Source organism: Homo sapiens, chromosome 6 (assembly GCF_000001405.40).
Source record: "Homo sapiens chromosome 6, GRCh38.p14 Primary Assembly".
In the NCBI taxonomy this organism is placed as follows: Eukaryota; Metazoa; Chordata; class Mammalia; order Primates; family Hominidae; genus Homo; species Homo sapiens.
The window spans coordinates 2788213-2815522 of NC_000006.12; the positions used below are offsets into that span (position 1 = coordinate 2788213).

The window sequence follows — 27310 nt, forward strand, 5'->3', positions numbered from 1 at the left end:
AAATAAAATCACATGTGGGTCCAATCCATTATCTTTACTAGTATTTCATTAAGAAATGTATAGCCCAGTTTTTTCTTGATTTTTTTTTTTTTTTTTTTGGAGACGGAGGCTTGTGCTCTTTTGCCCAGGCTGGAGTGCAATGACGCGATCTCGGCTCACTGCAACCTCCACCTCCTGGGTTCAAGCACTTCTCCTGCCTCAGCCTCCTGAGTAGCTGGGACTACAGGCACACACCACCACGCCTGGCTAATTTTTTTGTATTTTAGTAAAGACAAGGTTTTACTGTCTTGCCCAGGCTGGTCTCGAACTCCTGAGCTCAGGCAATCCGCCTGCCTCAGCCTCCCAAAATGCTAGGATTACAGGCATGAGCCACTGTGCCTGGCCAATTTTGATTCTTTAAAAATAACATTTTTACAGGCCAGGCGTGGTGGCTCACACCTGTAATCCCAGCACTTTGGGAGGCCAAGGCAGGTGGATCACGAGGTCAGGAGATCGAGACCATCCTGGCTAACAAGGTGAAACCCCGTCTCTACTAAAAATACAAAAAATTAGCCGGGCGCGGTGGCGGGCGCCTGTAGTCCCAGCTACTCGGGAGGCTAAGGCAGGAGAATGGCGTGAACCCGGGAAGCGGAGCTTGCAGTGAGCCGAGATTGCGCCACTGCAGTCCGCAGTCCAGCCTGGGCGACAGAGCGAGACTCCGTCTCAAAAAAAAAAAAAAAAAAAAAATTTTTGTTGGGGGATGGAGTTACTTCCAAATAAGAAGTGTGCTTGTGATGTAACCGGAGGTGACATTAACTCCTCAACAAGCTTTTCCGTCATGACTCACTCCTGCCAGTTTCCCAAGGGACGGATCCCAGTGGTGGTCAAGGCACAGGTGTGAATTTATGCCAGGACGATATGTGAGCATCGTAACTCAAGCCAACAGATAAGTGATGAGGGCTTTTTGAGATCCATCATCCTATTAGACATGCGGCCCTGAACACAGTGTGTAACGCGGACACGGGGCCTGTGCTGGAGCACGCGGTGCTGGGGAGAGCCTGCAGCACACTTTCTGCTGTATCCAGCAGCGGGGCACTGAGCAGCCAACTTTCTGTAACTGTAAAATCAAGCTTGAAAGTTTGCAAATGCTTGTTTTTTGGTTTCAAAGAATCTTATTTTGTGAAAGCAGATTTTTAAAGTTTTTAAAGCAGATATTCACTGCCTGAATGAATACCTCTCACATACCACAGTGAGCATGACTGAAAGTTTACACCATTAGCTAAACCCTGGGAAAAACTAATGCAGTGAGTCAGAGTTTCTGGTGAGGGAGGCACATCTCTTGCCTGTTTACAGTAGTATTCAACAATTGGGGGCAGCCCTTCCATATGATGCCATTTAAATACCACAAGTTATGGGCCAGGTGCGGTGGCACACACCTGTAATCCCAGCACTTTGGGAGGCTGAGGCGGGCAGGTCACTTGAGATCAGGAGTTTGAGACCAGCCTGGGCAACATGGTGAAACGTCGTTTCTATTAAGTATATAAAAATTGGCTGGGTGTGGTGGCGCACACCTGTAATCTCAGCTACTCAGGAGCCTGAGGCAGGAGAATCGCTTGAACCTGGGAGGTGGAGGTTGCAGTGAGCCGAGATCGCGCCACTGCACTCCAGGCTAGGTGACAGAGTGAGACTCCATCTTAAAAAATAATAATAAATAAGTAAATAAATAAATATCACAAGTTATGTACTGATTCTGAAAAAGCAACATAACCACCAAACACAATTTATTCCTTATGTTCCAAGTGTATTTGGTAGTTTTGTTCACCCTCATAACAGCCAAACCTGAGTTTAAGAACAGTAAGAATAGTGACTTGCAGAGATTTGTTCCAATTGTTACAACAAGAATGGATGTTAACTCATCTTTTCCAGATACAAGTCATCAAACCTGGACAATGTTATCAATTAATTCCAAATGAGAGAACCGGCCTTTTGATACTGATGTTATATTAGAAAGGATGATTTTCCTATACTTTCATATAAATGCCATGGATCTCTTACTTTTTGATGAATTAACCTTTGTGTAGCGACTACAGTTTGAAAGCACTACTACACATTCATAGATGCAGTTCCAGGCAGTTTGAGCCCACAAAGGCATTTATAACTTAAGCAGAAACCAAACAGAAGTAAATATTTTTAATAGAGTTAACAAATCTTCATAAAAACCAATCATTTAAAACTAAATGTTTTGAAGCTCTAAAGCCAGTCAGGCTCCGGGGAGGATGCAGATGATCCCCTCAGGCCACTGAGAAACTTTTAATCAGGGATCACAAGTATTAGAGAGGTATAGGGGAGGTTCAGGGGACCAACACAAGGTGAGAAGCAATTCCCTGGCAAGGCCTGAGAGGCAAGGGGTGGGAGCAGGCAGGGAGCCCTGGGAGAGCAGGAGGTGGCCGGCAGCCTTCAGACAGGAACTGCGGCCCTGAGTGGAGGCAAAGAACTCAGCAGCTGCTGCACCTCTTGAGTAGGGAACCTGGGGGTAGGAGAAGGAAATGCATGGTCTGAATCCTCTCTCTCTTGCCCTCATCTCCTGCCAGTCCCTCCCACTAGCAGGACCAACCAGAAGTTTCCCTGGTTAAAAAGCCAGGCGAGAAGGGTGGAGAATACCCAGTGTGCACAGATCTCTGAAATGAGAACTACTACTGCTCTATTTTAGGAGAAACAAAATTCTTTCTGTGTGATTGTATACCTTGAGAGCCAAGAAGAAGAGTCCGAACAGCTAACAGTCCAGTAAAGTGGCCACATGGAAACAACCCATGAAAATCCATAGCTTCCGGGCCACTACTGTAATCAGAAAAGACACCAAGAAGAATATTCCATTCTCAGTAGCAACCTGGAAAGAAACTGAATTGTAACTGAGGAGTAGGACTTACATGAAGAAAACTACCACACTATACCCTACTATTGAAACACAAGAAAATGCGAACGAAAGTAGAGAGAAGCCGTTTTCCTCAAAGACGTCATCTCAAATTTATTTTTACATTCCCATCATGCTTGGCATGTAGAATGTGATCAGTACATATTTGTTGAATGACAAAATGAGGGGATAAATAAACTTTCCCTAAGATGTGTATGTAGACGTTTGAAAATAGAAGTCTGTCGCTGATGTTTCTGTCCACCAGGAGTCAGGCTTCAGCCAGGAAAGAGTGAGCCAGTGTCTGAGCTGTCTCTCACCAGGCCTTCCACCAGCTCCAGGTCACCAGGTTCAGGCCAAGACTGAGTTTCAGTATTTGTCGTTAACCTGGTAGATAAATAAACAGTTTTAAAGTAGAGCTTATGTATTTGTCTGATTGCAAAAGTAATACATGATCATTGCACATAGGTACAGGAGCAGATGCAAAAAAAAAAAAAAGCAGATAAAAGATAGTAAAAATCAACTTTAACATTTAATATTTTTTCTCAGTGATAACCACTGTAAACATTTTAGTGTATGTCCTTTGGGAATTTTTTCCAATGAGTGTGTGTGTGTGTGTGTGTGTGTGTGTGTGTATGTATGACTACACCATCTGTTTATAGCTTGCTGTTTCTCACCCCCTCACATGATTTCTTACATGCAGAATTAGTCTCTTAGCGTATGACTTTTCATGGTTGAGTTGGAGCCACCACCAGGGAGCTGCACCCTTCCGGTGGTGCACCCCACCAGCCGTGCCATCCACAGAGGGTAGGACACACCAGACACCTAGTAGCTGGATTTATTTATTATATTTTATTTTATTTTTGAGATGGAGTCTCACTCTGTCGCCCAGGCTAGAGTGCAGTGGTGCAATCTCGGCTCACTGCAACCTCTGCCTCCCAGATTCAAGCAGTTCTCCTGCCTCAGCCTCCCGAGTAGCTGGAATTACAGGCACCTGCCACCATGCCCAGCTCATTTTTGTATTTTTAGTAGAGACAGGGTTTCACCATGTTGGTCAGGCTGGTCTCGAACTCCTGACCTCAGGTGATTCACCCACCTCAGCCTCCCAAAGTGCTGGGATTACAGGCATGAGCCACCGTGCCCGGCCTAGAACTGGATTTAATAAGAGAAACAGAGAGCCTCACACCACTCTCCCCTCCTTCAGCACCCTGCCTCCAGGGTTCTTTCGGCTCGCTAGCCAACCACACTTGGTGAGGTGCGTGGGTCCAGGAGTCTGTCTGCTCGGGTTCAAATCCTATCTGAGCCACCTCACCCCGTGACCTTGGTCAAGGTTATTTTCTTTTCCCTCATCTTTAAAATGGGTATCAAAATATTACTTAATCACAATGGAGATTACATGATTCAAATCTGGCATTGCTCAAAGTCATGTCCGGCACACAGTCCATACATGCTGGGTATTGCCATGACTCATTCTCCCCACCCCAGTTCAAGCATCGCTTTCCTCTCAAAGCCTGCGCTGAGCCCTCAGGCTAAGCTTCCCAGCCCAGCGCTGTGCAGCCCCAGGTGCTATTGCTCACCTGGGCTCTGAGCCATTGTGGTGTTCCAGGGCCTTAGGTGGTTATGGACCGGGCACTGCTCTCTCCCTCTGGGCTCTCCCTGGACGCCAGCCTGCATCTCTTTCATTTTCTTCGCTCAGGGGACAGGCTGAACTTGGGGACTGCGGAGGCCTGCAGTCTTCCAAGCACACTTGCTGCTTCATTTTGGCTGGCAGCAGTAATTGCAAACATGTATTCCCTGCCTGCCATATGCTGGGCACCATGCAAAATGTTTTCCATATGTGATCTCAATTTCCAAAAAGACTATATAAGCCGGTGCTGTTAGTACGTCTATTTTACATGGAGAAAAGGCGCACACAACTTAAGATGGCAAAGTGACTTCCTGAGAGTCAGCAGGATGGAAACCCCCAGAGCCGGCCCTGCCCGGCCACCTTGCCAGTGGCTCCAGGTTCTTACATGCATCAGAATCACCTGGAGGACTCGCTAAAAATCCCAGAATTTCTAATTCAGTCCATCTTCAATGGGGCCTAAGAATTTGTGTTTCCAACTATAAGTTCTCAGGTGGTGCTAACGGGGCTGGTCCACACGGACCACACTTTGAGAACAACTTCACCGTGCTATGTGACCTGCCATCAATAGCCTAGAAATAAGTTTTTGGTGGCAAACAGGCTCTTTTCAGACTCATCTCCTGCCTCTCTACCTGTAGCTGTCATTTATCTTTTCTTCCTTGCTCTAAACACATTCAGTGACTTATGAGGCCTTAAGGAGGTCCTGAGTCTCCATGCCACCTGGGCTTGCCTCCTTTGTCCCCCTCCCCTGTCATTCCTTCTGACACCAGCTGCTGCTTCTCTCCAGGTGTTTGTCATCCACACTTGAAATTGCTGCATGGGTGGGGAACATGGCTGCTGTGTGGCTGTGTGGGCAGGGCAAGGCCCAGGGGGCCTGGCTGAGGGCCGACAGTGAGCAGGCAGAAATCCAGAGGAGAGGATGTCTTTTTCTGTCTCACAAAGGCACACGTGGGCTAGCTGGGCTCTGAGGAAAGAGAGAGGCTTTTGAGCAAGTCCGTTTATGCTTCTTGCCTATTTTGCTTTAGCTTGTGGCTTCCGGTGAAAACACGCCTTCTTACTCATTTGGCTCCTTACTGAGGAATAAAATATACGAATTCCACTCCGTAGCCTGCAAATTCTCTACCTGTCTCATCGCCTCCTCACTGTTGCAGGTAGTTGAGACAAGTACAGTGGAACAGAAAGTCTGTTGGGCCAAGAATAGACTTTCTGGTATGAGATTCCCCAAGTGTGGGGAATGGTGAATGTCAGAAGCTTGAGTAGCAAGTGCACACATGGGGCGGGTCTCTTGTCACTTGTACTGGTTGTGCTCTAGTCACAGTAGGCTCTGAGGAAGCCAGGGTCCATGTGGCCATCTGCTTGAGCAACCTGCAAAGTCCTGGGTGTGGTATTTCTTTACTCTGCATGAAGTTACTCAACTGCCATCTGTATGACTAGCCAACTTTGAAGCAGAAACTATCTGAATTAGAATTCCATATTTCTTCCATTCTCTAATTTTTTTGAAATTCTGCCCCCATGATCTATAAAAAAAATGTGAAGTCTTCACCTAACCATCCACTTCATTAAGTCTCTCCTTCCTCTGCTCACATCACACTGCATAGGTTCTGTCTTTTTGGCTGTGGGTTATAAGCCTTCTGAGGGCAAGCATAGTCATAGTCATGTTCATTCCACAATGTTTGGCTCCTAGTAGCTTTTCAGCAAGTAATTGCTTAACTGACTTTCCCCGCTACAGAAGACGATGCTTTTCAAGAATAGACAATTCCATGTCACAGATAGTGTAGGTGTGAACGTCCCCAGGCTCAGGGCAGTGGATTAGTCATGAGCCGAGATCATTTTTCATGCTCTGGTTTGCACAGTGGAATGACTGGAGTAGCTTAGGATGTGGTATGAATTTCCTACTAGTGCACTAAAAACAGGATTCACATCCCTTCTGCCTTATGATTGTTTATGCAATAACCTCATTGCAAATGTCGTGTTGCTGTACCTTCCCATGATGTTTTAATGAAGTAGAATTTTAAAATATAATTAACGTGCTTAAGGTCATAAATCATAAAACAGATTTGGACAACTTCTGGATCATAGTATTTCAGCCTCTCTAAGCCTCAGTTTCCTTATCTCTTAAAGGAGGATAGATTACAATAATCTCTACAAACTCATGCAGTTTAAAAATACATTGTTGTTGCTGAGGCGGGTGGATCGTGAGGTCAGGAGTTCGAGACCAACCTGACCAACATGGTGAAACCCTGTCTCTACTAAAAATACGAAAATTAGCCAGCCATGGTGGCGTGCACCTGTAATCCCAGCTACTCAGGAGGTTGAGGCAGGAGAATTGCTTGAACCTGGGAGGCGGAGCTTGCAGTGAGCCAAGATTGTGCCATTGCACCCCAGCCTGGGCGACAGAGTGAGACTCCATCTCAAAAAAGTAAGTAAATAAATAAATAAATAAATAAATAAACCAACAACAACAAAACATAGTTGTTATCTGTATCATAAGAACTACTTAAAGGAAAATCTCCATTTTGCTAATGAGTCATTAAATACATATTTTACATCCTTCCAACAAGCTTCCATGTTGAGAAAACTGGCTTTTGAGACAAGGCCATTGTTCAATCTCTGGTAAGTCACTTCACTCATTCAGGCCTCGATTTTCTCAGCTTGGAAGTGGGTATAACAATGACTTCTAGGTTCACTTTTATTTTTTGGCAGGGCCACTTTTACACTGGAAGTTTCTTATGAAAATCAAGTAAGATATGCAGATAAAAATATACTATCAACTGTCAAGTGCTATTTAAATTAAGGCACGATTATTTTGACTGTTTACATGGGAAAGCATTAAGAAATATTAGCGGTTTTCAGAAGCCAGATGCTATGGAAGTCAGAATTGTTTCATTAGCTCACATGATATTCAAATGGGCATGGAATGAACTCCAGTGGGAAAGTGAGCAGTGTGCCCTGTGCCTTCCTCTCCCCCTGTCTCCTTTTCTTCCTCTTTGGAGAAACCTTGGCTCCTTCCTCCTTGGGAGAGAGCAGACCTGGATGGCCACAGATTTTGATGGACGTGCTGCCTTTTGTAAGCAGGAGTTGTCTTGGCCCCTTTGGTAGATTTAGAAGGGTCTGTTACTGCCTGTCTTCCCACTCCATCTGCCCATTCCAGTAACCAGAAACAGGCTTGATTGAGAAGCTAAATTTAGAGAACTCAGGATCATCAAAGAATACTGCTGAACCCGGTGATGGTGCGGAAATCGTGAAATAGCAGAGGAGAGGAGCCCTCAGGACAGTTCATACCAGAAACCTCTTTTCTAGTTTCCTCTGACCTGTGGGTTGTCACCGTGACACAGAACTGGAAAGAGAACAGACGGGGTGTCACAACAGCGAGGCTTATGAAATCTTTGCAAAACTTTCCGCAAGTCAGGCTTGAACTAGGAGTACGAGCTGCCCTCCAGGTGGGTGACACATCTACGACCCCGCAGGACCACCAGCCCCACGCTTTCAGCCAGTGCTGCCCAGAGTGCGGTGCCCGGACCAGCAGCCAGCAACCTGAGCCCATGAGAAATGCAGAACGCGACGCCCAGGCTCGGCCAACTCAGCTGGAATTGCTAAGGAATCTGTGTGAACAAAAGCTCAAGAGATTTTTTTATGCCTCCTTCATTTTAAGAAACAATATTGGCTGGGCGCCGTGGCTCACGCCTGTAATCCCAGCACTTTGGGAGGCCGAGGCGGGTGGATCACGAGGTCAGGAGATCGAGACCATCCTGGCTAATATGGTGAAACCCCATCTCTCCTAAAAATACAAAAAAATTAGCCGGGCGTGGTGGTGGGCGCCTGTAGTCCCAGCTACTCGGGAGGCTGAGGCAGGAGAATGGCGTGAACCCAGGAGGCAGAGCTTGCAGTGAGCCAAGACTGCACCACTGCACTCCAGCCTGGGCGACAGAGCAAGACTCCGTCTAAAAAAAAAAAAAAAAACGAAACAATATTGTAAGTTATGCTCAAAGACTTTTGTGTCAGAATGTCAGGGAAATGGATCACATGGTTCAGTAACTGTCAGATAATTTCAAAACAGCACATCACCTTCCCCAGGCTCTTCTCTTTCTCCTCAAGTGCCTCACTGGGACTCTCCTTCTCTTTTATCTGGAAGCAGAGGCCTTGCAAGGGCTGGCTGATCATCCCACAGTTCCAGCGTTTGCAGGGCAGCACTGGGCATTTTGAAGGGCAGGAAGGAGGAGGGGGTGGGCTGCTCTTGCACCTCCCCTGTGCCCACCTCCAGTCACCAACCCAAAAGCTGCTCTCTAGAGAACAAGTCCAGTCCTCTCTCATCTCCCTGCTGTTCCTCAATTTCAAGTCTCTTTCATAAGGAAATGTCCAAAGCTCTTGAAGGCTGGATGTCTCTCCACTGAGAAGACTCTTACTCAATTCAGATGTCTATGAGGAAATCCCATCACACCTTTTGCTCTGGGCCCACCCATTCCTTCTGGATTTAGGGCCCTCGCGTAGGGAAGAGCCGCGTGGGACAGCCACACATGGTAGAGCCCGCAAGGGCAGCTCCAGGGTTGTGCTCTGTCTGCAGGACCAAGGACACAAGGGAAGCCCCTTGGGGCAGCAAGTGGTCTTGGTGAATTGAGAAACTGAGGCCTCAGCACAGAAGGAAGGAAATGAGAGGAAGCTGGCCAGGTGTGACTCTGGGCTCAGTGGCCTGGAGGCTCAGCACCAGATCCCTTCCTGCAGCTTCCCAGGCCTTCGCTAGCTCCTTCCAGCCAGGAGTTTGAATGCTGGGTGGACCAAGACACCTGAAGTTTCCTACAGTGGCAAGGGTGGGAGAGAAGGGGGTGGCCCTCAGTGATGTAGTCCCTGGAAACTTAGGCAAGAACTGAGAATGAATGTGTCCTCGGCAGGACTGTGCAGCTGTTCTTCCCTCCCTGCTCCCCTCCCAGAACATGTGACAGGTGAAGTTCACAAGCAGCACATTCTTCACAGTTCCCAGGTCCCTGAAATCCCTTGAGACAGCCAACAGCAAGCAAGGTGGGGAGGGACGAAGTCCCAGAAATGACTTCACAAGAATGTACACAAACAACGAAGCCCCAATTTGAATCTCACAGGTTCAGCCCTGGCCTGATCTCACCCAAGGCAGATCTCCTCCTCCTCCTCCTCCTCCTCCTCCTCTTCCTCCTCCTCCTCCTCCTCTTCCTCCTCCTCCTCCTTCTCCTCCTCCTCCCCTGCTCCTACTCCTCCCCTTCCTCCATGCTGCCCTGGGCAGGCTGTGAGAGGAGATGGGGAGAGAGCTGCTGTCACTTTAAAATCAGCCTCTGCTGTGACTTCAAGCTAATCCATCAAACTAACTTCAAATGAATTCCTCCTCTCCATTCAAATATGTTTAAGCTCACAGTTTCTTTTTCTTTGTCTTTTTTTTTTTTTGCATCAAGAAGATACTTTTAAATAAATAGTTGCTAAAATACTTGTGAGGTAGTGATAACTTTGAAATAAATACTATTTTAAACAAAATTCACAGAAAGCCCCCTATTGATTGGAATCATTGCATGCAGTGAGTTGCAATATATTAAATAGATAGCTCCTGCTGCATGCCCGGTGATGTGGCCCCTCTCCTGGGCCGTGGATGGAGACACATTTGCAGAGATCTGCTTGCTTGGCTACCGCAGGCATGGAGGATTCGCGTACGCATGACAGCAACCCCTTTCTCCGGGGACATTTACTCTTCCTCCGGGGACATTTACTCTTCCTCCAAGTGTGTGATGTGAGGGGAGCTGTGGACTCCTCAAGGCCCAGGCTGCCCCGCCCAGCACAGGGAGGAACACTCCCTCCAGGTGGCCTCCTCTCCTGCCCCTTCCTCAGGCCCTAGTCACTCCGTCCAAGGACAGGCTCTTGGTCTAAGTTCTTCCCTGGGAACACAGGAGCAAGCCCTGACTCTTTGGTCATGACGCTCAGAGATGTGAACATGTGTTTCCCGCTACGTGAAGAAGCCAGTGTGAGGAAACAAGGCTGGGAAGAACCCAGCCGAGAGGAGGAGACAGCCAGGGCCCATGCCAGGCCTAGTGACAGGTGTTTCTGACACCCCCCACACCCCTGCCATTTCTGTGGTAGCTTGAAACTTCCAAAAATCCCTTCTTTTGTTTCCTCTTAATCCAGTTTAAATTGGGTTTCAATAACTGGCAACCAAGAGGAGTTATGACCAATGAACAGCAGGGCTAGTGTGGGGGCGGAGCCGGGCCAGGTGGGTTCCAGCCGTGCAGAGGCCCATGAGGCCACGGGTTCAGTAGCTGTCGGGGTGGGTGGAGCGCAGCCCCAGAAACCTCATACCCATTGGGGTACCTTGGTTTATTGGGAACTTGGGCATTTGGATTTTCTTTTTTTTTTTTTTCTTTTTTTTGAGATGGAGTCTCACTCTGTCGCCCAGGCTGGAGTGCAGTGGCATGATCTCAGCTCACTGCAACCTCTGCCTCCTGGGTTAAAGCAGTTCTCCTGCCTCAGCCTCCCAAGTAGCTGGGATTACAGGCACCCGCCACCAAGGCCAGCTAATTCTTGTATTTTTAGTAGAGAGGGGGTTTCACCGTGTTGGCCAGGCTGGTCTCAAACTCCTGACCTCAGGTGATCCGCCCTCCTCGGCCTCCCAAAATAATGCGATTACAGGTGTGAGCCATTGTGGCCAGCCTGGATTTTCTATTGAAAAAGGAAACTCAAAATGTATTTTGAAATGGAGGTAAGCAGAGTGTCTTTGTCTTCAAGAACTATAAAAGTCTGGTGGGAACGTCCTTTTACTCTAGTTTTTGTTTGTTTGTTTGCTTCAATTTCAATCAGAAGCAGCCAGGCTTGGCAGCTGCTCCTCCCTTACCTCTGTCCCTCTCCATCAGGCCCCATCCCCTGATACCACATCCCTCACTAAGGGGCAGAGGCTGTGGAGAGAGCATGGCTTTGCACTTAAGCCTGGTTTCCAGTCCTGGCTCATTGCAGCCACACCTTGAACCTCCATCCTTCATTCGTAAAACTGAGCAAATGACACCTACATGTAGGACCAGAGAGTTCAAAAATGAATACAAAATGCATGGCACATAGAAGGTGTTTTGCTACAGATCTTGAAAGTCTCCTATATAATAACACTTTCTAGTCAAAGTAAAGATTTTTCTTTCTGATCCTGAGTATTTTTAGAAGTGGCCAGGATCATACTCCTGTGCTGGGGCCTGGACAGATGTGGTTTTTCTGTCCACCTGCAAAGTCAGGAGTGTCAAACACTCGTTCTGGGGCATTCACTTCTGGAGGTCCTTTTTCCTGTGTTGTTAGAACATACATAAGTAAATGGAGCTGGGTGACGGTCTGCGTTCGAGCCCTAAGACTAGACCACTTGCAGATAATCAACACCATGTCACATAGCATCACAGCACTGGAAAGGAACTTCTGAGTCACTTAATCCAATTTCCACAGTAACCACGTGTCATCCACTGACAATGTGACCGAAACACCATGGTGGGAACAGGAAAGATCAAAAGCAAAGATAGTTTGGCAGATAATGTGTCTGATCATAACTTTTTCCATTAATATAGCTAGTAAACACCAATCCCTAATCTAATCAGCTCGATAATACCACTGCCTGCAAATAAAAAATGGCACATTATTTTTAGCACAGTGACCATAGGTTACAGATATGGAGAATTTAACTGGAAACCTGACTGCCTTCACTAAGTACGTGAGTAACAGACCAAGGTAGCTCCTCCGCTGACCCTATGCCTTCCCGTGATATTCCATTTAGTTCCCTCGGAGTTTCTGTGGATGGTCCAGGCTCACTGGAGAAAGGTCTAGAAGGGGTTTGTGAAGCAGTGTCACTGGGCACTGTTTATGAACGTGTCTGAGCCTGGTGAGATAGAACACAGTCAAATTCAACAAACACCATGAAGTGGATTTCTTACTCACAGATGAACGGCAAGGGACTGCAGAAGCCATGGCTCCATTGCAAGCCGGTCCCCAAGGCTCAGGAAAGCTGCCCGGGGCGGGTGGAGTCTCATCTGTGTGTACCCTACTTGCACCACAGTTGAGGGACCCCCAGAAAGCAGCCTGCCCTGGGTTTTATACCCTGGGGTCACAGGACACACTGGGCTGCAGTGTTGAAGGACGTCCTGTTTCTAGGGGAGACTGGGACAGAGCCCAGGCAGGCCCAGTCAGTCCCTCCCTATCTCGGGATGCAGCATTCCAGCATATTCTATGATTATTCTTGACAGCTATGAGTGAGAAGTGGGGCAGAACTGGGTTAGTCCACGGTCACCTGGAGAGCTGTCCTGCAGTCCACCTCCCAACCCAGGTAGCCCCTTCCACAAAGCCAGTCCATTGCCTCTGCCCTCCGACCTCTCCAGATCTGGAGACGGAGGCGTGTCTTGTCAGGTTGATGTAACACCTTGACGGACACAGGCTCAGTGCAATGTCATTGAGCCATAGCCAGGTTACACTTCACCAGGCCCGGGGGACCACAACCACAGCAGGATGGCCAGGCCTGCTGGGAGCAGCAGTCTGGCCCAGGATCCCAGTGATCCAGGTAACGAAGTTGGAGAAGAGTCCTTAGGTGGCCCCACTGTGACCCAGTGGGTCTGCCTCCAGATCTCCTCTCCTTGTGTCTCTGCAATCCCTGACATGCACACTCTTCTTGGTCAGGGAAGACAGTCTTGAACAATCCTGTCATCTGAAGCAGCCTTCCAGAAGGAGCCAAGGGCTGGCGGCTGGCTGCCCAGGCAGAGGCGGTGGAGGCAGTGATACCTGCCATGCTCAGGGACAGGTGTCTTTTTTTTTTCTTTTTTTTTTTTAAATTTTTTTTTTTAATTTTTTTTTTATTATACTCTAAGTTTTAGGGTACATGTGCACATTGTGCAGGTTAGTTACATATGTATACATGTGCCATGCTGGTGCGCTGCACCCACTAACGTGTCATCTAGCATTAGGTATATCTCCCAATGCTATCCCTCCCCCCTCCCCCGACCCCACCACAGTCCCCAGAGTGTGATATTCCCCTTCCTGTGTCCATGTGATCTCATTGTTCAATTCCCACCTATGAGTGAGAATATGCGGTGTTTGGTTTTTTGTTCTTGCGATAGTTTACTGAGAATGATGGTTTCCAATTTCATCCATGTCCCTACAAAGGACATGAACTCATCATTTTTTATGGCTGCATAGTATTCCATGGTGTATATGTGCCACATTTTCTTTTGTTTTTCATGAGCACTGACTCCTACGATGGTACCAGAGATCCCTTAGGGGACATAAACCCGGTCTGTTACTCCTCCTGACAGGTCCCTAGCAAGTCTGGTGTAAAGCCCCAGATTGTTGGCCCAATGGTATGGCCCATTCCCAGGGGTGATAGCCAGGTTGCTCCCAGCACACCCAGTGTACAGGATCCCACCATCTGCCAGCTTTGCTGGCATGACATTGCCCATCCCAGGGCTGCCCACAGAGAAAGGTGTAGCCCTTCCCCCACGTTACTGCTCAGTGCCTACTTGGGGGTGTGGAGGCACTGGCACTCACCAGCCAAGCCTCATGGACACAGAGTTGCGGAGCTCAGTCTCCCCTGCACAGATGGCTGCTACTAATCCAATTCTTATTTTCTTTATTGCATGGGGACACCTCCTGTCCATGGAAACAAAGGAGTGTGGTGTGTCAAAGGACCAGCCCATGGAGAGGCTTATTAGTCGTGTTCATGCCATTTTGCTGCAGAATCGGTTAAGTTAAAACATGGCACCTCCAGCTCCCTCCCATGCCTGGGTGCCAGAGCCTCCCTCCGTCAGCCAGGGCTCAGGCCCCGTTGGGTGTGTGGTGGTGTCAGACACACAGATGTCATTCACCGCTGATGGGATGAGAGGGTTGCTCTGGTCAGGGACAGAACGAGGTCCAGAAGGGCAGATCTAGCAGTTTGCCAGGTTGCCTGGGAGGGCTACAGCTCAGAGAGCCTGACAAAGGCATTGGGCTCCTGGGCGTCTGCTCCCACGTCTTTGTGGAAAAGCAGACACATTAGTGCCCCTCCCCCACTCGCAGTTCCAGGTGTTCCCCACCTGTGGACAAGGGTGGGCTGAGTTGCTGCAGTGACCAAGTCTGTCTGCCCCAGCCCAGGCCACTACCTCTGTGGCACCCATGGCCCCTGTTGCATGACTCAGACCTTCAGGCCTCAGTCATCTAGTCCAGGAAAGGGTATCACGTCCTGTACAAACAACATGTCCGATAATGTTGCCCATTCTAGTGGAAAGTCAGATGTTCCCCCTGCCACTAGAGAGACCCTAGCGCTTTGGTATTCCTTGGTCCCATCCCCACTCCTGTGGGACCCCATAGAGGGGAGACCCCCAGGGGAAGTATTGAGTCCAGGTTCAAGTTGGGGGCCCTGTCTGGGGTACTATGGCAGCCTGAACCACAAACCACCTTCAGGACATGCACTCTAAAGGGAGAAGGGAAAAAGAATGGTTGGGAATGCTGAGATTGGGATTTCACAGGTGCAGCCTAATCAGGTGGCTGCCTGCCGCCCCCCCATCACCGTCACCCTTACAAGCCCAGTGTCTCTCAATGTGCCCTGCAGTGTCACGCTTCCCTCTAGCGCCGCTGGGTTAGGGTCTCCCTGACTGAGCTGGTCTTGGCACTTCCCTTGTGCGGGAGTACAGAGTTTAGGGTCCATAATACCCTAGTCAGATGGTGTCACCCCGCTAGCAGGCCATCTTGATGTCCTGTCTTCGGTTTCGTTGTGGGCAATGGTTCCATCATTCAGCAGCCCCGCTGGCCTGCAGGTGACAGCGCGCGTGGAAAGTCTATCCTATTTCGTGAGTACGCACCCACTGTTATACTGCTAAGGCAGTGAAGGATGTTCCTTGGGCAGAGTGAGGTTCCGGGATATCCAAAAACATGACAGAAGCTCCTCTCAAGGGCGGCCATGGTAGTCTCAACATCCACTTGAGTGACATCTCTGTGTCCCTTCCAGGCAGCAAGCTATTGTCATAGTCCTTTAACAGGAAACCCTTTAATAGTCCAGCCACTCAGTAGCCATTCTCCTGAACAGTCATGTAGGCTGTTAGCCACAGTCCATGAATCAGTGAATATCTAACAAGATATGGTGGTGGCTTGCATGGCCATCACCCCTGCCTGTGGTCCAGCCCGTTGGACAGAACATCCATGTGCAGTCTCAATTGAAAGACAGCCATTCACTGGCTGGACAGTGGCCGCAGCCCAGTGGACCCTGTCTGCTCGTTGTTTTGCAGAGCTGTCAGTAAGCCATGCCATATCATAGGCAGTCCAGTCTCTGAATCTGAATCTTGGGTCCCAGGTAGCCCCAGGAGGAGCTGAAGCACCCCTGTCAGCTCACATGGTACCTTCTGTCAAGCTAGCCATTATTCATGAAGCCCACCGGCCCCTTGGATACTGGCTGGATCCAATCTTAAAGGTACTATTTTCACTTAACAGTTGAGCTCTGATGAGCCTGTTTGATTTTATTGGTGGAATTTGTAAGCATTCAAGTTGGACAGTTCAGGTTGCAACATCACATGTGGATGTCCAGTTTCCTGCACTGCCCAGTAGCAATCAAGCAGTTGCCATTCAATAGATGTACATCTGGGGGCTGCTTTAGGAATTACGTGTCCAAAACCTGAGGCCGGTGCACCCCAGTGGCAGTTTCCTGTTGCAAGAGGCTCCAATTGGCACGTGTGGAGATGGCAGACACCTATAATTCCATTGGGCTAGCAGACTCTAAAAGTTTTAAAGGCTGTGCCCCAGACAAAAGTTGTTAAGTGACTTCCAAGTCCTGCTATTACAAAGGGCCCTGTTCAAAGTTGGCAGCTTTGCCTGTCACCTTGACTAAGGAGGGCAAAAGAACACAAGGTGGGTATATGCTGTCTCCAGCACTCAAAGAGACCTACCTGCTATGGAACCTCCTCTTGATTAGTGGATGCTGCCAGGCCAACAGTTTTTGCTTGATGGCATCTGGGATATTTCTTTGGCTTCCTGCCCAAGTGGCCTTGGCGTTCAGCCTGCAACAGTCTGTTGTTGGTCTCCATCCCCTGAAGGTCTTTTTGACCAGCCAAAGTCAACCGTCACATTGCGACAGAATGGTTTGTAACATTTTTATCAGAATTAACGCAAAGTCCTGTTCTCCACTTTGCATTCAGTACTGCTTTTGTTGAACACCCCACTGGGGCTTGGGGAGCTTAGGTGGTAGGCAGGAGTGGATCTGCGCCGCTGTTGCTGTGAGGGCATGCCGTCTAGGTGGTGTGACGTTCTGTGCCACAGCAGCCCAAGTGTCGATGCCTATAATGCAGAGGTCCTCAACCATTTTGGCACCAGGGACTGGTTTTGTGGAAGACAGTTTTTCCAAGACAGGGGAGTGGATGCTTTCAAGACGATTCAAGCCCATTATATTTACCATTACCTTCTCGTAAGGTGCACGCAACCTAAGTCCTTCGCATGCGCAGTCCACAGTGGGGCTCGTGCCCCTGTGAGAATCTAATGCCGCCGCTGTTCTGACAGGAGGCGGAGCTCAGGTGGTGATACTCCCTCGTCCATGCTCACCTCCTGCTGTGCGACCTGGTTCCTAACAGGCCACAGGTCAGTACCAGTCTGTGGCCCAGGGGGTTGGGACCCCTGCTACAGTGCAGAGGTGGGAACCGTGGTCACTGTGCCCAAAATGGCTCAAAGGGCCCCACCCACAGCAAATAGGCACTGTCAGTCGCCATGTCTGTCCTCAAACCTGCCGATGGCATCAGTTTAATTTTTCTCTTCTTTGACAGGAGCATGGTGGGGGCCTGGAGACCTTGTCCCCACCCTTAATTGCACCATTTCTTCTGTCCTCTCTCATCAGCTATCCCAGAGAGCCACGACATGGCCTCCCCTGCATTTTGCCCACATCTGTCCCTTAGATCCAAATTCTCCTTTTCTGTGAAGACCCACATTGTGCATGCGGGTTCCCTCTCGGGTACCCCAGGGTCCACCTGCGTACCCACTCCTGAACTCTCCAGCCCCGGGAATGAGTGATCACATGAGTGCCCAGCAACCAGGGGGTTGTGTGCCATGCTCTCATTTCCATATTCTTTTCTCCCCATGTCAGTCCCTACAGCCAGCTCTCTCTCATCTGTGTGTGTGTGTGTGTGTGTGTGTGTGTGTGTGTTTGTGTGTGTAGGGAGGGTGACCTCTGTTCCACTTATCACCCTTCCTTCTCTATAAAACTTCCAGCTTCATGTCCAGCCCCCTGCACCCCCAGGCTGATGTCTCTGCCTGGGCTGGGTACTGAGGGGTACCACCCTCCCACTTTGCCAAGAAGCCATGGTCCTGTCAGACCAGACCCTGCTCACTGGGCCAGTTTTGTGAAGTAGGTTCACAGGGAACTGGTTAACAACTTGTCTGAGTCTGGTGAGACAGAACACGCCATCCCCACCCCACCCCAAATCTAGTTACATGAAGTGGGATTCTTGCTTGTAGATAGGTGGCAAGAGAAAACAGAAGCCCAGAGTCCATTGTGAGCCAGTCCCCCTGAAACCACCTTTGCAACAATTATAACAGTGAGAAAATCATGGCAGTGAAAGAAATCTGGTTTAGCCAACTCCTTTCTTGCCTTTAGCCTTCAAACTGCCCTTAACTATTCCTGGGCTTGGGCCAAGCTAACTTTGGGAGATATTTAGCTTATAGTTTAAATGATAATAGTCCTTCTCCAAACAAAATTGCTTTTGTAAAACTAATGAAAGGCCACCAAGCTGGGAGGATGAGAGGAGCCCAAATTCTGCTAAGGTGTACACATAAATTATTACCAGACATTATTGCGGAGTTCACAAGGTGTGTAACTTCCCCAATGACTCCTGAAGATAACATCACTATTGTAGAACCTAAGATTGGCCTTTTAAGATGTCTTTTCAGGTTTTTTGCATGTCTGACACTGATGACCCCACCTGGACCCACCAACCCCTCCTGTGGCCCCAACCAGAAGTGACTCAGCGCCAGGAGAACCATTTCCCACAGCCCAGTGATGGCAGCCTTGACCAATCAGCAGGAAACACCCAGCCTAGCCACCACTCCTCTCTTACCCCAAACAATCTTTGAAAAACCCTAACCTCCCGACTTTCAGGGAGGTTGATTTGGGGAATAATAAAACCTTGACCTCCCATTCAGCCAGCTCTACGTGTGCAAAACTCTTTCTCTGTTTCAACTTCCTTGCCTTAATAAATCAACTCTGTCTGGACAGCAGGCAAGAGGAACCCACTGGGCACTTAAACTCCAAGGCTCAGGAAGGCTGCCCAGAGTAGAAGTCTGGAAAGAGTAGAACAGAGGGTCTTTGGCCTATGTGGAGATTAAATGAACCTGTACATATAAATACCAATGCAGAAACTCACTTCCTTCTTCCTAACTTGCTTCTCAGAACATTGGCAGCCAGATCTTTAATATCTAGGCAGGAAATTGGAAGTCTCCCCTGGGATTCTAATCAGTGAAAGAGGAAAAACCTAGAGACCCTGAGAATGGTCCATCCTAGAATAAGCTGCAAGCTGACGATGACCGCCTAGGTGCACAGAGCTTGTAATCAGTTGTCTAGTCCCCCACTCTTAGCCCCAGGAAAACCAATTGTCAGACGCCCAAGAAAAATGATATTTCAGAATACCGAGCGTAAAGAGAATGTGTTTCAAATTTCCGAAGAAAAAGACAGGTCACATACAAAGGATCGGGGACTTGCAAATGTCAACACTGGAAAAATAGAAGGCAATGGAGTATTGCCTTCAAAACCCAAAAGGACAATGATTTCCCAAGTAGAATTCTAACCACAACTATCGAGCAGATCTGATGGCAGCACAAAACAGGTGCAGACATGTAAGTTCTCAACAACAACAAAAGTAATTGCCCATATCATTTTCCAGGAAGCAGCCAGAGGGTAGCTTCCCCCAAAGAAGAGAATGAGCCAAGATAAAGGAAGACATGGAATATAGAATATTAAGAAGTCCAACCTAGAAGGAAATGGAAATCTCTAGGATGATGTAAATCTTCAGCTGAACAACAATAAAAAATTCTGCAATGACAAATAAGTGTAGGGCACAGCAGGCACCCCAGCCAGAACAGGCCGTGTGACTCTGAGGCAGCACGCCACTATCGATGTCACTGCCTCCTCAGCCTCGTGCCACCTCCTCCCTGGGATGAAACAATGGGAGGATGTGCTCCACCAACCAAGGAGATAAAGTCAAAAAATAGGAAGATGTGAGATCCAGGAAACAGAGAATCCAAGCAGGAAAAAGGCAGAAGGAATTCCATGAGTTAAAGTAAAAAGATTTGTTCATCATATCTAAATACAGCTGGGGGGAAATCAAAAGATAACAAGTGGCCAGATGTGATGAAAAGGAAACATTCCCACGGTTGACGGGAATGTAAACTGGCACAGCCACTATGGAAGACAGTATGAAGGCTCTGCAAAAATAAAACTAAAAATGAAACTGCCTTATGAGAGGCTGGGCACAGTGGCCCACGCCTGTAATCCCAGCACTTTGGGAGGCTGAGGCAGAAGGGATTGCTTGAGGCCAGGAGTTCAAGACCAGCCTGGGCAACATAGTGAGACCCTACCTCTACAAAAAGTAAAAATATTAGCTGGACATGGTGGCACATACCTGTAGTCCCAGCTACTCAGGATGCTGAGGCAAGATGATTGCTTGAGCCTGAGAGGTCGAGGCTGCAGTGAACTATGATTGCACCATGGCACTCCAACCTGAGTGACAGGTCGTCTCTTAAAATAAAAAAGAAAAGAAAAGAAATAAATTCCATATAATCCAGCAATCCTTCTTCTGTGTATATATGCAAAGGATATAAAAGATCTCTGCAGCCCCATGTTTATTGCTGCATTACTCACAATAGCCAAGATAATGAAACAATCTAAGGATCCAGTGATGGACGAATGGATTAAAAATGTGGTATATATACAATAAAATGTGATTTATCCCTAAAAAAAGAAAAGAAAATCCTGCATTTGCGACAACATGGATAAGCCTGGAGGACATAATATTAAGTGAAATAAACTAGACACAGAAAGACAAGTACTGCATGATCTCATTTATATGTGGAACCTAAAGAAGTCCTAGAAACAGCAGGTGGAATGGGGATGGACAAGGGCTGGGAAGCAGGGAAAGGAATGGTGAGACGTTGGTCAAGGGGTACAAACTTGCAGTAGTAAGATGAATATGTTCTGGGAATCTAAGTACAGCATGGTGACTACACTTAATAATATACTGTACACTTGAAATTCCATACACACATAACTATGTGAAGTGATAAATATATTAGCTTGATTGAGGAATACAAGGCATACATATGTTATTTACTTTAAGTATATACATATTTTATTTTATTTGACAATCATACTTCAATAAAGCTGGGTTGGGGGGATGTAAAGGGAAGTCCCAGGATACGACCTATGCAATCATTCCAGACAGAAGAGTAAAGAGGTTTGCAGCGGAGGATATCTCCACAAACAAAGTGGACCCAGCTGATTAACTGAGGTTATTGACCTTGCTGAGAATAGCACTGAGAGGCTATTGAAAAGCATGGGGAAAATTACAGGCACAAAGAAACTGAGCAATGAAAAACAAGGCAACTATTATCCTCAGGAAAAACATCAAAGCAAGAAGGGACCAATCAGAGTTTATGATGCTGCTCAGTTGTGAATAACCCTTGTGTGATTATAAAAATATTAATACCAAATGTTATTTAATCCAAAATTATAACCAAAGAAGATGGTGATAGGAAGCAAAGGGAATAGTGGAAGCCGAGAGCTAAATCCTCACCCATCCTAAGTGAAAATCAATTCTCTACCGACTTCGTTCTGTTCAACTTCCATTGACGAGCACAACCTCCCCTTCAAGCCTGATTCCCCATATAAGTCCCTCTATTCAGGACTCTGTATGCACCCAGGACTATGGGAGAACAGGCTGTCCAAGGCAATGGACTAGTCTGAGGACAACTGGGCCCAAGTTATCTCTGCTCTCTTGTTCCTCCACCCATTTTTACTGCACCGAGGACCTCACTCACCTGACTCCTTTCTCGCCTTCCTCAGTTGTGCCAATTCCTCCCCCACCACTCACAGTATCTTGTCTTGCAGCCCAGGCCAGTCTTAGCAAGGGTTTGCAATCAGAAAGGCTCAAATATGCCTCCAAATCTTTCTACCTTAGGCTGCACTTGGAAACCACGACATCAAAGTCAGAAGTTTTTCATCTTTAGCTTTGGTTTCCTGGACACCAGGGGTTTCCCTGGGTGTGGTGGGAGAGAAGACAGAGGAACACCTGGTGTGGGGAAAACAGATTAGTACTTGGAGTTATAATTGTGCTCTAGTGATTGGTAGGTAATGGAGAGTCATGGAAGGTTTTCAGTCAAAGGAGCGACTTCCTTGGATTAGAATTCTGTATTGTGAACTGCGGCTGCAGTGGAGTTGAATCATGGGCTGTTCCCATGGGCTGGGCAAGAGAAGGTGAAATCTCCCACGATGAAGGCGGGTGAGGACAGAGCGGGATTGACAGATTCTGGGGTTTGGCCAGAGGAGAATTAGTAAGAGGGTGACTCAGGTGTCTATCCTGGGGAACAGGTGCTACTCATGAGCCGGTAAGGCACAGGTGTGGTCAGGAAGTTTCTGATTAAGGATTTGGTCATCTCCCTCCCTCCCTTCAGTCTCTGCTGAGACAGAAAGGAGTCCAGAGGTTTTTGAAAGAGGGGAACTCCCAAGAGGGATGGTGAGGGTAATTCTGGGAACTCTACAAACTTATGCTTGAGGTTACAGTTGTGTAATGGAGGTGGCTGACTGTCCTACGGGTTAGCTTTTCTTACTCTGTGAAAAGGAGTGCCTCTTAAATATGTAGAGACTGTTTCACAATCATCATAACATAGTCAATACTGCAGGCCTCGGTGACTCCCCACCTAGGCAATGCTATGCCTTATCACCCACAGAGGCAGGCTTCGGTCATCATTCGGACATTGCACTGTGCTGTATAATTCAGGTGTGGTCCTTAATTTTATAAAACCTAGCATTTCAGAAAAGCCATCACCCCAATTAACTTAGCAGTCTTAAGGATCCCTAAATACTCACACAGGTTGGAAGCTTAAACACTTTCACACATAATTGCAAAAGAGTTGGTACTTTGTCAGAGAGAAAATTTGCTAGGAACAGGGCAGGTTCAACGCCATCTCCTAGAAGTCTTCTGACCAGAATTAATTTTTTTGTACAGTCCAATAAGGCTAGTACAGTATCTTTAATATTCCATTACTTTTCATGGTCTGCTTTGTATTTTAGTTAAATTACTAGGATCTAAAGAAGGTACAAAGATAAGCAAGAAGTGGGTATTTGCCCTTGTGGAGTTTACGGTAAGTCTATTATATTTTCAGCTTTAAGACAGAAATGCTAATGGTAACTCAAAGAAGTAATATGTGGTGCATGTTAAATAGCAGTGGAGGGCCAAGGACATGAGCGAGGATGCCTCTCCACCAGCAAAAGATCCAGGTGCAAAGAGCACTGAAGGCATCTTGGAGGGTAAGCAGTATTTCAACAGGTGGAGATGGCAGAAATCAGCATTCCAGAAAGAAGACAGGGCATCCACAGCTCTTCTTCAATAGAGGAAATGGTTTCTCAGCTGCAGCATGACTGACATTTTGGCCGGATAATTCTTTGTTGTGGGGGCTGTCCTGTGAGCTGTAGGCTGTGTAGCGGCATCTCGCTGTCAACCCACTGGATGCTAGTGACACTCCGACCCCAGTGGTAACAACCCGGAATGTCTCCAGACATTGCCAATTGACCTTGGGGTTGGGGGAAAAATCACCTTGGGTGAGAGATACTGATACAGAATATATATACGCACAGACACGTATATGAGGGTATGTGTGTGTGTATATATATATATATATAGTAACTGTCCACGGCACTTTGACTTCAAGAGAACTGATAATGTGCAGCAAGTCCTCCAATAATATCATTTCATTCATATCATTTTGTTATAACGTAAAGGAGAAAAAAACATGATTTTGTTATACATTGTTTCACTTAAAATTGCAGTTTCCAAAAACCTATTGGTGAAGTGAAGACTTACTGCACATATATGTATGCATATGTAATATGCAAAACTGTACATGTATCTTTATAAATGTATATGTACACCAATATATATACACATATATAGTTGAACCACTTGAAATTGTCCACACTTCACCATTTTTGACCTACAAAAATGGCACCTTTATATGGCTCAACAATGTAGACCCTATAAGATATAGGTAGTGATAGACACAGCTAGAAAGATGAACTAGAGAGCCATTGTGAATGTCCAGCGGCCTAGATTACAGCAGGATGTATTGTAAAGAGGTGACGAAGGGTCATACAGTCAGACAGACACGGGGTTTTTCTGGTGCTGCTGTGCAAACCTGGGCAAGTCCTGCCTGAAAACGGGGATGAGGGTAATAACACTTACATTGAAAGATTACTGAAAAGATTAAATAAGATAATGTATGTAAAGTTTCTGGCACATAGAGCTATCATCATTCCTTAAATCAGTGGATAATAGGAGTTGTTGAAGATCTTGGAGCAGGCCGTTGGTGTACTGGTATGTTGGTATGGCTGGATTTTAGGAAGCTGGATCTTGTGGCATCGATGAATGGTTGATTGGAGGGTGTTAGGGCAACAGTAAACAACAATGAAGATGTTAACAGAGGTGGGGTATAATTAGGGCCTGAACATAGGATGGTGTCAGTGGGAATGGAAAAGAAGGAATGGGCTGGGCATGGTGGCTCACGCCTGTAATCCCAGCACTTTGGGAGGCCGAGGTGGGTGGATCACTTGAGGTCAGGAGTTCAAGACCAGCCTGGCCAACGTGGGGAAACCTTGTCTCTACTAAAAATACAAAAATTAGCCAGGTGTGGTGGCACAGTCCTGTAATCCCAGCTACTCAGGAGGCTGAGGCAGGAGAATCATTTGAACCTGGAAGGCGGAGGTTGCAATGGGCCGAGATCACGTCACTGCACTTGAGCCTGGGCCACAGAGCAAGACTCTATCTCAAAAAAAAAAAAAAAAAAAAAAAAAAAAAGAAGGAATGGGTTGGAGACAGAGATTTCTTTAACAGCTTTGTTGAGGTATATTGACATATCGTAAACTGCCCATATTTAAGGTATATATTTGCTAAGTTTTGACATATGTATACACCTGTGAAATCATCATCACAATCAAGATGGCAAACATATCCCTTAGCCCCCCAAATTTCTTCATTCCCTTTTATAATCCCTCCCTCCCTTCCCCAGTCCAGGCAATCATCGACCTGCTTTCTGTCACTGCAGACTAGTTAGCAATTACAAGAATTCTATAATATATACTCTTTTCTAGTCTTTTTTTTTTTTTTTTTTTTGAGACGGATTCTTGCTCTGTCACCCAGGCTGGAGTGCAGCGGCGCGATCTCAGCTCACTGCAAGCTCCACTTCCCGGGTTCACGCCATTCTCCTGCCTCAGCCTTCCGAGTAGCTGGGACTACAGGTGCCCGCCACCACGCCCGGCTAATTTTTTGCATTTTTAGTAGAGATGGGGTTTCACCGTGTTAGCCAGGATGGTCTCAATCTCCTGACCTCGTGATCCACCTGCCTCGGCCTCCCAAAGTGCTGGGATGACAGGCATGAGCCACCACGCCCCACCTGTTTTCTTGTCTTGCTTCTTTCACTCAACATAGGTATTTTTGGATTCACACATGTTGTAAAGTTTATCAATAATTTTTTTTTTTGCTAAGTAGTATTCCACTGTATGAATATATGACAATTTGTTTATTCATTCGTCTATTGGTTGACATTTTGGTTGTTTTTGGTTTTTGGCTATTGCAAATAAAACTATTAATTTGTGCATACAAGTCTTTGTGTGGGTCTATGCTTTCTTTTCTGGTAAACACCTATTAATAGAAGTGGAATGACCGGGTCACATGTCAGGTATATATTTAATTTTTTAGTAAATTGTTTTCCAAGCCAGGCACAGTGGCTCATGCCTGTAATCCCAGAACTTTGGGAGGCTGAGGTAGGAGGAACACTTGAGGCCAGAAGTCCAAGACCAGCCTAGGCACTATAGCAAGACCCCATCTCTAAAAGAAAAAAAAGAAATTGTTTTCCAAAGTGGTGTAATAGTTGACATTGCCCCCAGAATATACATTTAGTGTGATCAGTCTTTTTAATTCTAACTATTCTGGTGGGTATACATCTCATGGTGGTTTTAATTTGCATTTCCCTAATGACGATCATTACATGACTAATGATGGTCCTTGCCTTGTTTTTTATCACAGGATGAAAGTATGGGCATCATAGGACGAAAGTAAAGTACCATTAAGTATGGACATATTTTCATGTGCTTATTTACCATCTATATATCTTCTTTGATGCAGTGTCTGTTCACATCTTTTGGCCATTTTTTAAAAAGTGCATATACATTGACATGCAGAGTGGAGTAATAGATAGTGGAGACTCAGAAAGGTGGAAGGTAGGAAGGGTGTGAGGAATGAAATACCACGTATTGGGCATAATGGACACTATTCGGGTGATGAGTACACTAGTAGCCCACACTTCACCACTATGCAATAAATCTGTATCACACAACTGCATTTGTACCCCATACATCTATAAAAATAAAAATTAAAAACATAAATAAATTGGGCTGTTTGTCTTCTTATTATGTAGTATTCTTTATACAGTCTACATACAAGTCCTTTGTCAAATATATGTCTTGCAAATATTATCTCCTGGTCTATGGCTTGCTTTTGAGGAGAAAAGAGTTTTTTTGTTCTGATAAAATCCAATATACTGTTTTTAAAAAAAATAGTTTGATTGTTTTATGTCATACTGAAGATTTCTTTGACAAACCCAGTGTCACTAAGATTTTCTTATATATTTTATTCTAGAAGTTATGCTTTTTTAAGCTCTTGCATTTGGGTCTATGCTTCATTCTGTAGTTCATTTTTGCATATTAAAATTATACACAAGGAATAGTGTTGAGATTCATATTTTTGCATATGGCTGTCAAATTGTCCCAGAACCATTTGTTGACAAGATTTTACTTTCCCCATAGAATTGCCTTGGCACATTTGTTAAAAATCAATTGACCGTATATGTGTGGGTCTATTTCTGGACTCTCTATTCTGCCCCATGTGTATATATAATATAGAATACATATATATATGTGTGTATATATATATCCTTAATCTCAATATCACACTACCTTGATTACTGGATCTTTATAACATGTCTTAAAATAAGGCATTTTAGACTGGGCACAGTGGCTCATGCTTGTGATCCCAGCATCTGGGGAGGCCGAGATGAGAGGATTGCTTGAGCCTGGGAGTTTGAGACCAGCCTGGGTGCCATAGCAAGACCTCACCTCTGCTAAAAATAATAATAATAAAATATTTTAAAGCCTCTAACGTTTTACATCTTTTTCAAAGTTGCTTTGACATGATTATTCTAGGTCTTTTGCATTTCCATGTAAATTTTAGATGTAGCTTTTCAGTTTCCACAAGTAGCCTGCTGAGATTCTGACTGGGATTGTATTAATCAACAGATCAATTTGGGGAGAATTCACATGTTAACAGTATTGAATCTTCCAGTCAACAGGCATGGTAATTCTCATCATTTTTGTTTTGTTTTCTTTCCTTTCTTTGAGCTGTTTTGCAGTTTTCAGTGTACAAATCTTACATATATTTTGTCAAACTTTTAATAAGTATCTTATATTGATGCTGGTGCAAGTGATATTTTTAAATTTCAACTTCTGACTGCTCATTGTGAATGTATAGAAATAATGATTCTATGACTGATGTTTTGCATATTGCCCT

At 46.3% G+C, this 27310-nt stretch overlaps 1 long non-coding RNA gene across 2 annotated transcripts, besides 5 other annotated features; it reads right to left on the bottom strand.

Moving 5' to 3' along the window:
* Positions 2979 to 24542, bottom strand: LOC124901241 (uncharacterized). 2 transcript variants are annotated; one of them, XR_007059408.1, is made up of 3 exons: positions 16385 to 24542; positions 14019 to 14120; positions 2979 to 3274 (listed from the first exon to the last, which is right to left on the bottom strand). It is a non-coding gene; the product is annotated as an uncharacterized LOC124901241 (long non-coding RNA). The 2 variants fall into 2 exon arrangements; XR_007059407.1 differs by having other exon boundaries at positions 14019 to 24542.
* Positions 3023 to 3317: an enhancer, noted in NCBI's record as "tiled region #6984; HepG2 Activating DNase unmatched - State 12:CtcfO". NCBI's record gives its function as "activates a minimal TATA promoter and a strong SV40 promoter by Sharpr-MPRA in HepG2 cells {active_cell/tissue: HepG2}" and the evidence as "EXISTENCE:reporter gene assay evidence [ECO:0000049][PMID:27701403]".
* Positions 3023 to 3317: a silencer, noted in NCBI's record as "tiled region #6984; K562 Repressive DNase unmatched - State 12:CtcfO". NCBI's record gives its function as "weakly represses a minimal TATA promoter and a strong SV40 promoter by Sharpr-MPRA in K562 cells {active_cell/tissue: K562}" and the evidence as "EXISTENCE:reporter gene assay evidence [ECO:0000049][PMID:27701403]".
* Positions 9588 to 9692: a silencer, noted in NCBI's record as "fragment chr6:2798034-2798138 (GRCh37/hg19 assembly coordinates)". NCBI's record gives its function as "represses an EF-1alpha promoter that drives an FKBP-Casp9 reporter gene in an ReSE screen in K562 erythroleukemia cells {active_cell/tissue: K562}" and the evidence as "EXISTENCE:reporter gene assay evidence [ECO:0000049][PMID:32094911]".
* Positions 13884 to 14384: an enhancer, noted in NCBI's record as "H3K4me1 hESC enhancer chr6:2802330-2802830 (GRCh37/hg19 assembly coordinates)". NCBI's record gives its function as "activates a minimal SCP1, AML or CMV promoter by ChIP-STARR-seq in naive H9 embryonic stem cells {active_cell/tissue: H9 hESC(naive)}" and the evidence as "EXISTENCE:reporter gene assay evidence [ECO:0000049][PMID:30033119]".
* Positions 21461 to 22660: an enhancer, noted in NCBI's record as "P300/CBP strongly-dependent group 1 enhancer chr6:2809907-2811106 (GRCh37/hg19 assembly coordinates)". NCBI's record gives its function as "activates an origin of replication core promoter dependent on BRD2, BRD4, P300/CBP, MED14 and CDK7 cofactors, with strong dependence on P300/CBP, by STARR-seq in HCT116 cells {active_cell/tissue: HCT116}" and the evidence as "EXISTENCE:reporter gene assay evidence [ECO:0000049][PMID:35650434]".
* Positions 24543 to 27310: the final 2768 nt, after the last annotated feature.